The sequence below is a fragment of the Homo sapiens genome, chromosome 12, assembly GCF_000001405.40.
Source record: "Homo sapiens chromosome 12, GRCh38.p14 Primary Assembly".
In the NCBI taxonomy this organism is placed as follows: Eukaryota; Metazoa; Chordata; class Mammalia; order Primates; family Hominidae; genus Homo; species Homo sapiens.
Genome location: NC_000012.12, coordinates 21,523,777 through 21,540,830, shown reverse-complemented (window position 1 = coordinate 21,540,830; position 17,054 = coordinate 21,523,777). Strand labels below are relative to the sequence as shown.

The 17,054-nt window shown below is 38.2% G+C and overlaps 2 protein-coding genes and 1 long non-coding RNA gene across 7 annotated transcripts in view; 1 reads left to right on the top strand and 2 right to left on the bottom strand.

The window, feature by feature from the left end:
* The window catches only part of GYS2 (glycogen synthase 2), a 72,271-nt gene extending 64,017 nt beyond the window's left edge, over positions 1–8,254 (top strand). For 2 of the 3 annotated variants that reach the window (NM_021957.4, XM_006719063.4), the window contains 3 exons: positions 258–421; positions 1,493–1,573; positions 3,656–4,724. In NM_021957.4, the coding sequence (NP_068776.2) occupies positions 258–421; positions 1,493–1,573; positions 3,656–3,877 (467 nt within the window). In that variant the 3' untranslated portion in view covers positions 3,878–4,724. Of the gene's footprint in view, positions 1–257; positions 422–1,492; positions 1,574–3,655; positions 4,725–7,544 lie in introns of those variants that run through there. The other variant, XM_024448960.2, reaches the window with a different exon arrangement.
* Positions 3,498–6,237, bottom strand: LOC124902896 (uncharacterized). The gene is made up of 2 exons (XR_007063240.1): positions 5,720–6,237; positions 3,498–3,785 (listed from the first exon to the last, which is right to left on the bottom strand). It is a non-coding gene; the product is annotated as an uncharacterized LOC124902896 (long non-coding RNA).
* On the bottom strand, positions 7,884–14,535 carry SPX (spexin hormone). Of its 3 annotated transcripts, NM_030572.4 has the most exons (6): positions 14,353–14,535; positions 13,865–13,945; positions 13,639–13,696; positions 13,042–13,104; positions 11,747–11,830; positions 7,884–9,694 (listed from the first exon to the last, which is right to left on the bottom strand). In NM_030572.4, the coding sequence occupies exons 1-6, from the start codon at positions 14,356–14,358 to the stop codon at positions 9,636–9,638; spliced, it is 351 nt and encodes a 116-aa protein (NP_085049.1). In that variant the 5' UTR covers positions 14,359–14,535; the 3' UTR covers positions 7,884–9,635. The 3 variants fall into 3 exon arrangements, 1 of the variants encoding a protein (NP_085049.1); NR_135187.2 differs by lacking the exons at positions 13,639–13,696; positions 13,865–13,945; positions 14,353–14,535 and having other exon boundaries at positions 13,042–13,300; NR_135188.2 differs by lacking the exons at positions 13,042–13,104; positions 13,639–13,696; positions 13,865–13,945; positions 14,353–14,535 and adding an exon at positions 12,680–12,879.
* Positions 14,536–17,054: the final 2,519 nt, after the last annotated feature.

Below are 17,054 nucleotides of genomic sequence, written 5' to 3'. Positions count from 1 at the left end.
CACTGATCCAGCGTATCCCTAGACTGCCAGAGTTTTTTTCAGCAAGATCCACTTCGTTGGCTGTGTGTCAGTGATGGTTGTAAACCATTAGAAGGGAATTAGGGCCTCAGAAAAGAATAAAGTGGGGGTAATTCCTGAGTCAGGGGGTAGATAATGCATAGGTTTTTGATGGAACCAAAGAGTTAGTAAATCACAGGAGAACAAATGTTTAAGGTTAGTCCTACTTTTACTTGTGCTTTGGCTTTTGTGTTCTTCAGGTATTTACATCGTTGACAGGCGGTTCCGTTCTCCAGATGATTCTTGCAATCAGCTGACTAAGTTTCTCTATGGATTTTGCAAACAGTCACGCCGCCAAAGGATTATCCAGAGGAACAGAACTGAGAGGCTCTCAGATCTTCTGGATTGGAGATACTTAGGCAGAGTAAGCAAGTTTAGATAAACACAGCAGACCACTTAAAAAATTCCACTGGACTATAAACATATTGATTCTAGTCATAATCTCTAAAGTTAATCCAATATTATAATTGTTAAAATCTCAGTGTCTCCATGTACTTTTTAAAATTTAATAAGTTTACAAAGTCCTATATGTATTTCTTCATGTTTCGTTTGAGTCTATTCATAATAGCAAGTCCATCAGGATCTAGCACTGATCTTACTAGCTATTCCATTGTCAGTGCCTCACTTGATGTGTTACTGGTATAAGGAAACATTTTATGAAGTTGAAGAAAACATCAAGAGAAAAGTCCCTACTTTGTTTCTCTCTAGAGAAATAGTGTAGTCATATTTCTCAACTGTAGTGAGTAATGGGTATAATATGGTTTTTCAAAATGATGACTACAGGAAATACCTCCTTTCAATCATGCAATAGGTTTATAAACACCTGGATGCTCACACAGCTTAGCAGTGGTGATTTAATAATAAATGAATTGACTTTGCCTTCACATAATGTGTCTGTTTGCACAGTGCTGAACACTCTTGGCTGAATGAGAGATGCTGCCATTTGCTGAGTATCTGCACACACAAATGCCAGTGCTCATTACAACCTGGATGATTAATTTTACTATCTCCATCTTGCAATGAAGATAGATACACTAGGCTTTTAGAAGTGATGTTTCTTGCCTAAGGTCTGAAGCAGGATTTACACCCAATTTATCTGAATATTCAGGCCCTATCTTTTCTCCATGCCACACTGCTTCTCTGTGGAATGAAACCAGTGTTTTCAGTCACCTTAATGCTCAATTCAGAGCTCAATATGACCAGTATGGGCATTCTTCCCCAGCATTTTATAGTATTACTCTGCCTATGGGTTGAAAAATAGTAAAACTATAAACTGTAATTTCTTTCCTGAGTCTCAAACTTAGACTGCATAGATTCTGTCACTTTAAAAAATACATATGTTTCAGAACTAGGAGAATAAGGCCTTATTTAATAACTTGATTATTGAGATATCTAAGGGTTTTTATTAACCTGTGATTTGGCTTTCTATCAATAGTATTACCAGCATGCCAGACACCTGACATTAAGCAGAGCTTTTCCAGATAAATTCCATGTGGAACTAACATCACCACCAACGGTAAATATTCAATGTATTTTTTTTTGAAAGCTATATTTCTTTTTATAAGTTTAAATAATACATTTAAATTTGGAAGTAGCTATGCACACAAGCTATGATACTTTTTCATAATGTTGAATCAAACCAAAGGAGAGAGAGAGGAACTCACAAATCAGACTGTCCTAAAGCTCTCAAGACAGTTAATTCATCTCATTGGAGAAGCATCTCTGAATTAAAACTTTCTCTGCCTTAATGCTTGAAATGGTTCTGATGGACATTTATTCTTTGGGGAGTTGTTCAAAAACAAACTGGACTGCTTTAATTGAAAGTGAATTTGCTCTCCAAGGAAGTGTTTAAATATAGGGTGACCGCTTGGCAAGAGTAAAATAGAGTAAGTTCAGCACCCCAGGAGGAATTGAACTAGATGAGCATTTATGGTCCATTCATCAGTGCCCACCAGGGTGTCTTCTTCTAAAATCCAACTAGACGTTTATGTTCATAAGACTGCTATAGGCCACATTTGTCATCAGATTCACTTAGCAGGGAGAAGACATGAGGTGCCACTTGAAGCAGGGGAGCGTCAGGCATTTCTCTTTAGTGGGATCAGTCCTTGCAGTAGTCTACACAGCAATCCAAGAGCTAAACATCTTTGGCCGCCTACACACTAGGTGACAGCTTAGGTGCAAGAAGATAAGACCCATACCATTGCAAATGAGATCACCTTAGCTTAGTAGCTGCATGCCCCACAGGAGCCTCTATCTCATGTAAATCTCCGCAAACCAGCTTTCATGCTCCCTGCAAGGAATATGCCCAATTATGAGTCATCTTATAAGAGTCATTCAGAGATTCCCAAAAACTCTGGCGCCTTATCAAGTATTTATAGATTTTTCAGTTCAGATATAATTTCTCAATCAGGGGTCACTGTTACCATAAACAACCATCCCTAATAACATGACTTATATTCCACCTATATCAGGTTTCCAGAGGAACAGATCTAGAAAGTTAACCTGAAGTAAAATTTGCCCGTAAAAAAGGTGATAAGGTTTTCTTAAACCCTCAGGCTACAAATTCTGACTTTCATGTTTATGATTCTAGCATTCAGAGTTGATTGCTTAGCTTATTCAGAGGTGGTCATTCCACTTAATGATAATTCAGCAATATTCATCCATTTATCTGCTTATCTACTTATTTATCCAGTTATTACGTCTAATAAGCATTGAGCACCTACTTCAAGCTAGGTCTCAAGTGCAGAACTCAGTTCTTTTGTTGTATTGCTGACAGGTAAAGTATCTGAACCTTAAAATGACTGTACATGTATGACATGATATAATGTATAAAGTAATTGAAATACAGAGTGACGAGCGCTATAACACTTTTACACATCTGTCTCCCCATTCAATTATATGCACTCCAATCATGTTTTTTCATCTGGTTTCTTTAGTGGCATTGCAGTGTGTGTTTATCAAATAAGTTATCTCAGTATCTCAAGTAGAAGGGCAAATTAATTAAAGTCTAGTGATATTTTCTCATTAACTGAAATAACAGCAACTAGTGGAATTGTAGAGTCAATTAAGTGACCTGACTTCCAGGATGCCTTCTAGTGGTGGCCATCCATGGCATTTCCAGGCTATCCACATCCAAAAGCTTTGCTGAACAAATTTGAGACTTAGAGACTAACAGTATCAGCAGTGTAAGGTGGCAGTTGACATTAAAGTTTCTGGAGTCATCACAGACCTGGTACAAATCTTTGCTCTACCATTTATGTGCTGAGTGATGTTGGGCAAGTTACTTGACCCCTCTAACCCTCCATTTTCTTCTGTACTGAAAAAAACATATTTATCAGAGTGTTGTTAAAAGATAAGATGATAATAATATGTATATAACACTTAGCACATTTCAGTACTTAATAAAGAATAGCTATATATTGAATGAATCCCTCTTGAGATTGGTGGTATCAAAATCAAAATGAATCAAAGTTTAATAGCACCCAGACTACAAAAGATAGATAACTACTTAAAAAATTGATAGTGCATGCATAGTATTTACATCGTTGAAAGCCAAGAAACTGTTGTGATGTTTATGTCTTATTTTTGTCTTTGGCAGACAGAAGGATTTAAATATCCCAGGCCTTCCTCAGTACCACCTTCTCCTTCAGGGTCTCAGGCCTCCAGTCCTCAGAGCAGTGATGTGGAAGATGAAGTGGAGGATGAGAGATACGATGAGGAAGAGGAGGCTGAAAGGGATCGGTTAAATATCAAGTCACCATTTTCACTGAGCCACGTTCCTCATGGGAAGAAAAAGCTGCATGGTGAATATAAGAACTGAATTCTACATGTGCTGCATGAAGAGCTAATTTAAAAAAGCAAAGTAAGACTAATTATTTAAAATAAAAATGCCACAAATTTCATTTTCTCCTTCTAAGTATTACAATGGAGTTTATTCTCTGCCTAAAAAGTGGAAGAAATTGAGTGAATGACAATTTTGTAATTTAGGATAAGATCCAAGTTATTTTCCCCAACTCTTGTTTCCCCCATAAAGTTAGGCATGAGGAGGAGCACTCATTAAAGGCAGAAGACGGAAAAGTGTTTTTAAAATGGTGAATTTAAGTGGTAAGGATTTTCTCTTACTCTGTTTATTTTTAAATGATCATCATAATCCTTTGCTTACTATTTATGCAGCTTCTCTACCCCACCACACAAATTTCCCATTTCCCCCCCGAAAACCTTGATCTTACCCATGAATGTGCACTACCTACATTTTTTAAATAGCTAGGTTTTTACTGATTATTTTCATTTTTCACATGCATCAGAACCATGATTTAGATGTAGTTTTGCAGAGACAAAAATCCATGAGTGAATAGCTATCCTAAGTCCATATTTTGATGCATATTAATGGACATTTATGTCACTTTTGAAATCTAGAATTGATGTTGTAATTAATGCAAGATATTACCATGTACATGGTACCACCATCTTACTGTAACATTTTTCTATTGTTTAAATAGAAAGCCTTTTTAAAATTTGGTCAATCTTCATAGATGATAACTTGTAAAATCCAAGTAAATAAACACATTAATATTTAATAACTTAACTTTCACTGGTAATGCCTTGTTTCTTCATAGATGATAAGTTGTTAAATCCAAGTAAATAAACACATTAATATTGAATAACAACTTTCACTGATAATGCCTTCTTTAAAAATTGTTTAGACATTCGAATAACATGTGGGAAGCAGCTGTTATGAATAATTCCTAGAGAAGCTATCTTTTTAAAAAATAGAAAAAATAGAACATCTATTCAGTTGTAATAATGACAATGTCTCAACATATTCTGTGATGTGCATAGAGTCATAGATGAATGATTATTAATTTAGCCGATTTATGTTTTAAGTGTAATTAAGTCTAAATTGGCAACAAAACAAAAACAAAAATCACACTCTTGGATTGCTTTTTTGCTAACTAAGTAGTTATTCATTGTGAGTTCCACTTAACTCACAGTGAGTTCCTTTATTGACATATCAATTGGCCTTGTTCTGAAGAGGTTCTAAAAAAGTTTTGGTCTTCTCAGTGCTGGATTATTGATCACAAAAATGGAATAGCAGCAACGACAAGGTGTCAGATGGTTCAAGACCACTGGAAAACTGTAATCCAGCCCTCCTATTGCTGCAGTAGCTAGAAAAAAGTAGAAAACTGTTGGATACAAGCAGCAAATCAGACAAAAATGGAAGATAGCTGGAAATTTACTTTACTTAGATGTCCAGAAAGAAGAGAAATAATTGACCTAAAATCTAGCCTTTGACAAATGCCCTGTGGATGCCAATTAACCGAGCATCTGCAGAGCAGTTTGAAATGCTCTGTACTGGAGAGTAGAAAAAATATGAGAAGGACTTATATTATAGGCTCATTCCCTGAAGTACCAGAAAGATACTGTGATAAACTAGGGTTCACTGTTACAATAACCATGAAAATGTATCCCCAGTAAACTAGCTTAACGTGTCTATTCAAATGATACTCGATTGGTAACTGGTTGCTTGACTGTTATTGAAAACATGCCTACACAGTAAAATACCTGAAGATGTAAGTGCTTTTTGTTCAATGAAATAATAATTTGATGATAATAAGTGTGTACAAATGATAGGGCACATGGAATTTAGCTGACTTACAAATACCTGGCTTTGGCAGTATGTGTAGGAATCACCTTCTATCCTGTACTCAGTCCCCTATTCAGACAGCTGCTGCCAGGTGACTCCATCTCTCCACTGTAGTCATTTCTTCATCCTTTTCCCCAAGACCGACAAAAGCTGGTGAGGAGAAGCAAATATGATTTTTAGTAGAAGGCTCTGTGTCTAGTACAGTGCCTTGTACATAATAGTTGCATAGATAAATGGTCTTATTGGGAGACATAGAGGTTCAAAAAATTTTGCTTTTAAAGAATGTATGTATTCATAAATTGAAGGACAGGAACTATAGAAAACGTGTGTGGTGCCTGATCAGCTGAGAGAAAGACCCGTTTTATGGATTGTACCACCTGCTATGGTTTGAATGTTTGTGTGCCCCCCAAATTCATATATAGGTGCTCCTCAACTTACAATGGGATTATGTTTGGATAAACCCACTGATATTTTTTCTTTCTTCCTTTTTCTTTCTTTCTCTCTTTTTTTCTTTCTTACCTTCTCTCTTTTTTCTTTCTTTCCTTCTTTCCTTTTTCTTTTCTTTCTTTTTCCTTTCTCTCTTTATTTCTTTCCTTCTTTTTCTTTTTCTTTTTGACAAGAGTCTTGCTCTGTCACCCAGGCTGGAGTGCAGTGGTGTCATCTTGGCTCACTGCAACCTCCACTTCCCAGGCTCAAGCAATTCTTGTGCTGCAGCCTCCCAAGTATCTCAGACCACAGGCATGTGCCACCACAGCTGGCTAATTTTTGTATTTTCTTTTTAGTAGAGACAGGGTGTTGGCATATTGGTCAGGCTGGTCTTTGAACTTCTGGCCTCAAGTGATGTGCCCACCTTGGCCTCCCAAAGTGCTGGGATTACAGGCATGAGCCACCATGCCTGGCCAGCCCACTGATATTTTTAATTTATAATGGGCCTATCAGAATATAAATCCATGGTAAGTCAAGGAGTGTACTGTGTGTTGCTTTCATCCCATCATAAAGTTGAAAAATCATAAATCGAACCATCATAAGTTGGGCCCGTCTGTATTGAAATCCTAATCCCCAATGTGATGGTATCCACAAAGGAGGCAGAGCCTTTGGGAAGTGATTAGATCATGTGGACAGAGCCCTCATGAATAGGATTACTGCCCTTATAAAAGAGGCCCCAGAGAGCTGCCTTGCCCTTTCCACCACGTGAGGACACAGCAAGAAAGCGCCATCTATGAGAAATGGGCCTTCTACCAGACACTGATTCTGTTGACACCTTGATCTTGAACTTCTCAGGCTCCAGAATTGTGAGAAATAAATTTCTGTTGTTTATAAGCCACACAGTTTGTGGTATTTTGTTTTAGCAGCCTGAACTGATCAAGATACTACTGTCTCTTCCATAGTAAGAGTTAGAGTGAACAGAACTGGTTTTATATATGCAGATGAGAACATAAATGTTACAAGGTGTTATACTAATAGTTTTCCAGGGTACAAGGAAGACTCAGGAGGGGGACTAGTTAAGTCTACTTAGGGAGGTCCGAAGAGTCTTCACTGAATGAACCCAAATTTCTATGAGTACTAAGGGCAATAAAATGGCCCATTTCACACAGTTGTTGTGAGGATCAAATCAAATTAAAAATGAGCTCTTTCTAAAGGAATTTATAGCCCAGTATGAAGCGACCGAACAGAATGAAGTTACATTCCCAACTTCCCTTTCTTTGTGGTCAAGATAAAATAATGTAATTCAAGATTGTAAGATACACATTTTCATTTATCATAACCAGGTAAAGAAGAAATGCAAGCTGGAGGCTAATCTGAACAAGCCAGGGTCACTTCGCCTTCTTCTCTCCTCTCTTAGGAACACAATGATGGTATTGAGGGAGCGAAGGCAACTACTGGAAAACAAAGAATAATTAAGAGCCCAGGATGGAGGCCAGATAGCCGAGGTAGGCTATAGAGGCAAAAAAGAGAAGGGCAATGAGAACTGTGCAGAAAGTGGCTGAAAGCGCTCCCTGCAGATCAAGGTATTCTAGTGCATGTATCTGTGTGTTGAAGCCAGAAAATTCCCAATTTTAAAACACAAGCCATATAATGTGAAGGTTTTCTGATCTATGATCACTTGTTCATTTTGGTTTTTTAAAAATCTAGAAATAAACAGAATATAGACACCATAAGAGAGTTGGAAAGTTATAGAAAATTGGGAAGAGGGACCTTTTAATTAATCAGCATATTTGTACATAAGAACATTCAAGGAATTTGAGTACTTAGAATACTTGGAGCTATATTTTAACAGCTATTGATCATTGAGACAGCTTTTAAAACAATGGTTAGTATGACATTTTTGAGATTGTTCTGGTTAGTTGTAGGAAGAATTATTTCATAAGATAGATGTTAAAAGTGTTCTTTGAATACACATACTATTTTGAATAGTCAATTTGTACAATTTTATGTCTGATGGGTAAATAATTTTTAATGTCCCACCCCTCCTAATGGTGAAGTGGTTAGGACTGTATAAATAAAAGACAATGCTTTTGGAAAAAATTTTCAATAAATCAGATGTAAGCACTACCTAGTAAGTCTACTTTCAAATCAAATCATAATTAATGACAGGTGCCTATTATAATGCCATACAGATATTTTAATGCTCACAAGTTATTTTTCGACGGAGATCAACATTACATTAACTTGAATTTAGTTTCATTATTAAATTATGAAACAAGATACAGATAAATCTTATAAGCAGAGTTCTGATTACTTAACACAGTGAAATTGCAATTCCAAGTTACAGAGACATTCACATAAAGATATTCTTGAGCTACTAAATAATGGCTAAATACTGATGACAATAAGAATTAATACTTTCCACTTATGACATTTGTCAATAACAACTCTGATTAGGTAAAAAATAATTAACATGATGGTCATATTATAATTCTAAATAAATACATTATTATGTTTGCCACAGGAGTATGTGTGTATGCGTGTGTGGGTATATGTGCATGTGTGTGTATTCAGATGGTACTGAACTCAAGTTGGCTTTTAAAAAGGAAGAGATCAGGCATATTACTGTGCACTTATGTTATCAGAGTGATTTATGTAATGCTATGATGTCAAATAAAACCTAGAGTCTAGTCAATTAGAGTAAGCAGAGTACTTGAATCTGTTGAGTCTGTTTGGTCATGGAAAATGAGTTACCTCTAACAAAACTGGCTTGTTCCCTTCTTCCAATACGTAAACAACAGAGTGTGTCTCCATCTGCTTATTTCCCAGTAACTTTTAGATCCATGTTTCTAAACTGAATGCAAGGTAATTCCCAAAGAGCACAAAGGGAGCTCTGAGCTCTGGATCTTTGGCAAACCTTCTACCTCAATGACTGTCTCCTCTCAGCAACCACACTGAAGTGTTCCTATCACAGAGCTTCTCCACAGTCATCCAATTTATCTTCTTAATTGATTACTCCTGGATGAGCTATAGAGAGTCATACTCTCCTATTTCCCATCCTGCCATGTTTCTCACCTTCCTTCCACATTCTTGGGGATGGGATAAAAGGAAAACAGAGAAGGAGAATTTCTGCTGAGTGAAAACAAAATGCAAGTGGGTAACAAAATGAAAAAAAAACACAACTAAGATCAAGACAGGTACTGGCTATAGTTAAAAGGAAAGAACACTTTAGTCTTCAGCCTTATAATTATAAATATTCTAAGAAACTCAAGAGTAAGACACAAGGTGATCTGAAAACATTTTTGGTCATCTAAACAGGACCTGAAGCAATGAAAGAAGATGATGTTCTCAGCTAAGCATCCTATATATATTTTGTTTCTGAAAGAATAAAACTATCTGTGTGTGTTCTTAAGATTACAAATGGAATAAAAGGGTCCAAAGGTTTTATTCACATGGTTCATGTTTTCAAAGAGAATAGAACCATAATTAAACATAATCCAGTATATTTTCACCAGTTAAGCAGACTGTCTTCCAGGAATCTGGTTTGATCAAAGTTTTTTTCTTCATCTGTAAGAAAAAAAAATTCTTTAAAATAAATATACACTCTGCGTTTTAATAGAGGAAAAGGTAAGACAAAGAGAATCTCAGGAAATAAACATTTAGCCTTCTAAGCTATGTTAACTTATGGACTCTGCTACTGAAAATTTAAACAATATGGGCTTTGATTTGCTCAGTTTAAAATCTTTTTTTCTCAGCTTGGGACACATTGGGGAATTCATATTTTACATCTGAACCTCTATAATGACTGAAACTACAGTATGGTATGTCTGGTAAAAATCTCAAAAGTCATGTGTCTTGCTCTCACAGATTGACTTATATCTAAAATACCCACCATTAAAATAATTCACTTGCATCAAAGGACTGTCTCTTTATATTTCCTGTTAAAATGGATCTTGCTCGGGAAAGATGACATGGGAACACATTTGCAAATGTTCTTTTATTAGGGGAGCTAGAGTTCTGGGGAGGAAATGAGACAAAAAGAAGAGGCACTCGTTTGCTGGCTGGGATCGCGAAACTTTAGAGCATGAGGTATCACTTCTGAGGTGGGGATACTTAAAGAGTTAGACAATAGCAGGTTCCTGGGACTCTAAAAATAGGATAGAATGACTAAAAGTTACAATACGGTAGGGAGAAGCAGTGGCCAGGGGCAAAGTGCATCTACTAATTTCTTCTAAGATCACCTCTAGATAAAAGCACATTCTTTCAGTTAGTTGCAATATAATTTGAATGTTTGGGTTACATCTTAACCTGAATTTCTAGCACACTTTAAACCATTGCAGAAAATGGGCTTCTCTTTAAAGGGAAGGAAGAAAACAAAACAAAACAAAACAAAACCAGAACGGCGTCCCTGTATAAATTCCACTGAAACCATAATTCACTAAATAAGAGCCTTCTAAATAATAATGAGGTAGTATAGAATAAAAATACTAAAGAAGACTAGTGATTAATTTATCATATGGGAATCAAAAACTTTTCTATCAATTTAGACTAATAAAATTAGTCATTTCATCTTCAGAGACAATCCACTTAGAAAACTTCAATAATTAAAAAAATACATATTTATTTTCCAAAAAAGACTTGAGATGGGGACCTATAATCACATCCTTTCCTCAAATTGCTAATGAAGATACCTCTCCTCTTTAAAATTAGCTCTCTCTTGTCCATTATAAGTCACTTTCCTTTCTGGCTCTGCACATTTTCCCAACAATCAAATCTAAAACGTCACTATCAACCAATCTCCATCAGAGCTCTTTTCGTACTGACTCCAAAAATCGCTGGGTTCCATGTCTTGGGTTTTAAAAAGAACACCTTGGATACAGCATCCTCTACCCGTTATTCAACTATTTCACACCTTTTCACTGCAAGAGTTCTGAGAGTCATGCCAGCTCTCCAGAGCCTGAGACCTGCTTTCTCTTAACTTTGCAGTTTACTTTCTTGTATCACATTCTGTAAACAAAGTTTCAGATATGGAATAGCAGCAGCAAGCTGTGTCACTGGGCAGGAGGTGGGGGGAAGTCCTGTGACACACTGTTTAATGTCCCCTGAGTTCTGTATTCTTACTAACCATTCTGCTATAGTAACCATTCTGATAGTTTCCATCCCTGGAAAGTTTCAAGAGGAGCGGGATCAGTAGCATCAGCTACTGAATGAATTCTGGGATACTCTCTTATTCTGATTTTCCTCTTACCTTTCTGCTTGCTCCTTTTAATGTCCCTTCACTGGTACTATTTCCCCCCATTTCCCTTGATTTTTGGGTGTTTTATTGTCTTCCCTTTTCCCACTATATCTAAGCCCTAGAAGGTATCTCCATTCTCATGATTTCAACCTTTATTAACGGGCTCTGAAGTTCCTGTTTTCAAACCTGACCAATCATCAGAATAATGTGGAAGAACTTCTTAAGGACAGAGATTCTTGGGCCTCACTCAAGCAGTACAGAATTAGAATTTCTGGGCCTAAGGCCAAGAAATTCTGGGGGAGGGGTGTTGCACTCAACACAGAATCCCGAAAGTAAGCAAAGCTGTTCTGTTATGCAGGTGAAAGAGGCCACTATGCTAGTACCTTCTGGTGATTTCTGAAGGGACGCCAGTAAGATGGTTGCTGCCTCCGGAATAGTTAGTAGTTGGGGATTTGGGCTTCGTCTTTCTGCAGAAACAAAAATGTATACAGATTCTCTTAGCATTTATATATTGATGTAGATAAGTCCTATTCTAACATGCAGCAATACTAGAAAAACCTCTATGAAATAGATTTTGACCCCTCAACAAAGGACTACTTACACAGAAGACTAATTTTTTAACATGTCACAATTGCCTTGGAAATGACTTACAATTGGTTATGTCAAGTTTACAAACAGGGTATGGAAGAGAATGTTAAACTATATGCCAAAGAGAATTTTAGATAATAATTTAACCTTTGCGGCCAAATATAAGGTAATTATTTGACTGAAGGAGTATCTGCTAAGAACTCAAAGTTATTTCAAATCTAAGTTGAAAAAAGACAAATTGTTCTGATTCAGCACAAAACATGATTTCTAATTTGGGGCAACTGAAGTTGAGAAACAAATCTTAACCTCATAAAATAAATAAGCTCAATTACACAGCATGTTTGAAGAGCCTAAACAAAAATTTAAGCACCTACTATGTGTTCAACAGTGTTTGGTATTTTTCCAAGTAAGTATACTTTTTAATTTTAGCATTTCAATCTTTACAATTTCATCAAATTGTATTGTTATTTGTTAATACAATACGATGGAAAGGTTTATCATGAAAAAGAACAGTCCCCGGTCCCATCCTTAACTGCCCGCATGTTACTCTTTTGATTTTGAACCTTTGATAGTTCTTTCTAGTCAAACAAAAGCATACATTTGAAGTTCCTAGGTAAGTTCTTATTTTAATAATAACAGCGTTTAAGAGGAGGCTGAGTAAAGTTCCTGCACAAACGCGCAGATACATTTCTAGAAGCATTTGCATAGTTCTTCCTATCTCGCCTTACCCCTCTGAGCTGCACCTCAGGTCCTAACTCCCTGGGGACCTCTGCACACCCTGGCAGCCAGAGGGCTGGCTGAACAGCCGCAAGCCAATAAGGCTTGGGGAGCCGCAGCGCCAGCCTGGGCCGCCCTTGCCACCATTGGCGCGGGGCTGGACGCGCGAGCTCCCAGCTCCGGCGCTCGGCATCCAGCTGCTGCTGCTGCCAACCCGGGCTGCCCTCGGGCGGACTGTATCTGAGGGCGCCTCAGAGCCGCGTCTTTCCGGTGAGGAGACGCTTTCTTTCGGCACCAGCGCGGAGCAAGCCCTGCCCGCCCCATCCTATTCCAAAAGCGCAGGACTAGCGCCCTTGCACCCTTGGTCACTCACCCGGCAGTGGCCGGTCGGAGAGGTCCTTTCTCCGGCTCTGGTCGGAGATGAAGCGGCGACCCTCTGCAAAAACGAGACCTGGGGCTCAGCGACAGCCTGGCCCGGGACAACCCGGGCTTAAACCTCAGCTCCTCCCGGCACAGCGCAGTCCCCGGGCGTGGGGAGGGGGCAGGTTGCTCCAGGATAGGGTCGCGCGGGGCTGCCGAGTTTCCAGCGCTCCCAGCGCAACCCCGGGCTGAGCCAGGGGCCCTGGAGCTCTGGAGGAAAGCCCCGCGCCTGACCGGACGCCGCAAGGGCGCTTTGGAGCGGAGGTCGGGTTACTGAGATATTTCCCAGGCAACCCGAGTCCCCATTTGGACCAAGAGAAGCAACCCTCCAGTTTTGGATGGAGAATTTCTAATAAGGATGGAGGATTTCCAATAATCAGGGACTCTTCCCCTCTCCCACCCCTCCCTCACCTACCGGTCTCTTTGATGGCCTCGATGATTTAAGGGAATAAACTCGACATTATTCTCTCTCCATAACTCTCCATCTATCTGTTCCTGACTCCTAGGGGTCTTCCATTATTGTAGGAAGAGCGAAATATTTGGAACTTACGTGCCCCTTTCAGGTAGAGCATAGCTTGAGGAGTCCAGTTCCTTCTCTCCAACAGTCTCTATAGCCCGGGGGAAGGGAAGAGCAGTTAATAAAACATTGCAGCTCAGTCCTCTATTACAGCAAAATAAAGGAAAAAGAAGAGAATAAAACAAGAAGGAAGAAAGAAAGAGCAGAGTGGACACACAGTGCGCATTGTTTTAAAATTTTTTATTTTGCATTTGATTACCTGCGGAGCGCAGCTGGAGTTTCCCAGGAAAACAAACACCAGGAAAAGAGCCAAGGTTGTTGCTGCCAGACTTCTGAGTCCCTATATGAAGCGATCAACCAGAAAGGGTCATTTCTGTGCCAATAGGATCTTCTGCTTCCTTCCTTGACGCCTGGACAATTATAAACCCCCTTACTTCTCGCAATATTCTGTTTTAATACTCAGTTTTCTGGAGGTGTTTCCCTTCTACCTTCTAGTTAATTCACAAAGAGTCCACTTGAAAAAACGTATTTAGAAACATATTATTTGTATTACTTCACCCAAATGAAGAATAAGTAAATACGTGAATTTTTTTCTTAGTAAAATCAAATGATTCTGTTATTCTAAAGGCGTATCGTTCAAATATCCTTTAAACTCTAAAATCCTTATTAAACATGAAATAGGTAAAATGCTATAAAACGTTTTAAAAAATAGCTAAGAAGTCTCAAGTTAATAAAGCCTTTACTTACCTTCATGTTCTGCGTCTTTTCAGAACCCTGAAATAACTATAACTTTATCTGTGAGTTTTCGACTCTTGCTCTGAAATTGGAGCTTTTAAAATCTTGGTGTTAAGGGCACCTCCCCATCTGGAGTAGAGTTTGGGAGTCCACAGGGACATCTTGTCAGTCTTCAAGCAAGATTGAGAATCTGATGACTCCTCCAGGGAGCTTCATTGCAGGAAGTAGAGGAATGATTGATGGGCAGAAATTATTTGTTTAAATACTGATTGCATCACCCAGGAGGCCTTCAGAATGTGTCAGCATCATTGGCCTTGCTTTTCCTACTAGCTGCCCAAAGTAACATGTTATTATTATTATTAATGAAAACAATCAATAGTCCAAGGCAGAATCAAAAGTAAAAGAATAAATCAGAAAACTTTTCTTGGGTAACTAGCCATCAGTCTATCACTGATGGCTAAAGATGTATGAAAAGGTTTGGGAATCTCAATGGAATTTGACATCAGTCATTCACTTAATTATCAATTCATTCTGTTGTTTAGCAAATATTTATTGAGTGCCTATGAGACACACAATCCTTGTATTTCAAGGGACACAGCCATGCACTGAAAAGACATGGTCTCTGCTTTGATCTAAGTTACCTACTAGTTAAGGTACACAGTAAACTGATGAATAGATAAATAAGACACAGTAGTTACCCCTTAATCGTAGGTGTGTGTGGGGTGGAGGAGCATGTTTCAAGACCCACAGTGGATGCCTGAAACCACTGATACGTATATGCCTTATTATACTATTTTTTTTTATCTGTTCACCAAGATGGTTACTAACTGATTAATGGGAGAGTGGTGTTTACATATGGACATGCTGGACAAAAAGATGGTTCATGTCTTGGGTGGGCTGGAGCTGGACAGTGAGAGATTTCAACACCCTACTCAGATTTAAAGCTCACAATTTAAACTTATTAATTCTGGAATTTCCCATTTAATATTTTCAGACTGTAGTTGACCATGGGTAACTGAAACCATGGAAAGTGAAACCGTGGATAAGCAGGGACTACTGTAACTACAGAATGTTTTAAATTGTTAAGTAAAAGTAAGCAAGGTGATGTGATAGGATAAGTGGTGGGCTACTTTAGGGAAGGTTAAAAACAGAGGGTAGTCTTGAAGGATAAGGTGAAGTAATGGGAGAAGCTGGGCAGGAATTAGTATTCCAGGCATTCTCAATAGAAGAAAGAAAAGCAAAATCTGTGGACAGCAAAGAGCATGACTTGCTTGGGGACTAGGAAAGAGGCCAATGGAGGCAGCGTTGTGTGGGTGAACGGGGGAGGTGCTTTGAAATGAGATTGGAGAAGAAGAAATGGGCCAGTTGATGTGGAAATACGATTATAAGCAATAGATGATGATGGCTTACACTGGGATGGTACACACAGGGAAAGAAGAGCTGTAAATGAATTTGGAATACATGTTGTGGAGGTAGAAAATATAGAACTTGTATATAAAAGGGATATGAAAGTGTGAGAAAAATAAATCAAGGATGATTCTTAGGTTTATGGATAAAACTGTGGGTAAATTATGAAGTAATTTACTGAAATTAGAGAAACTTCTTAAGAAGCAAGTTATGAGAGGGAAATTAACACTTGCCATATAGGCATATTAAAATTAAAATGTATATTAAAAATATCCAAGTACAAGTACAAAATAGAAGGTTAGAAATGCAAAACTTGATAGAGGTCAGCCAAGAGGTCACCAGCCTACAGATTTTCTTTTTGGTGGGGGGCAGAAATGATTAGCTTTAAGAATTTTAAGAATTCTAAGAATTTTACAACCAGTAAAGGGATGAGATTAAACACAACACTTAGGGAGTGAATAGGGCTAAAGAAGAGTGGCAGGGACAGAGCTATGAAAACAAACGCATAGAGAATGAGCAGAGGAAGAGCCAGAAAAGGAGGTTGAGGTAGAGTCAGAAAGAAAGGAGAAATTCCAGGGGACCCTGATATCATGGAAGCCAAGTGAAGATCCAGTAGTATTGGGAGGTCAAGCAACATTAGCTCCAAGAAACATCCACTGGATTTGGAATATGATGGTTTTGAGGATAGAAGCAAGATTGGAGTTGGTTGAATAGTGAATATGATATGATAAATTAAAGCCAAGAATAAACAATCTCTTTTACAGATGTCACAAAAGAAGGGAAAGGAAAAAATGAGAATTTTTTTTACTGTTATTATTATTGTTATTGTTATTTTAAAGACAGGGTCTCACTATGTTGTTCAGGCTGGGCTGAAACTCCTGTCCTCAACTGGTCCTCCCATGTCAGCCTCCCAAACCTCTGGGATTATAGGCATGCTTGGCCTGTGAAATCTTTTTTTTTTTTTTAAAAGATAAGATAGAAGATTTGTTATACTTTTTGGGAAACCTTTCATTTCTAGGAAATTCCTAAAATTCCCTGAATTATGAATTATGAAATTATGAATCTTTTTGGGAGGCAGAGTGTTTCTTCTATTGTACAAACTGAAAATGCCAGATAGTCAGTTTTCTAGCCTCCCTATCAGGGAGAATGTGGGCATATGACACGGGCTTCACCAATCAGATGAGCATGCTTAGATGGGGAATCTCATGCCAGGATGGAAGAAGTGCTCGGGTGAAGCAGGGGTTGTAGTAAGATTGAGTTTCTGGAGTAGTCTTAGCTACGGTGCTAGTGGCAAGTTCCAGCATCCA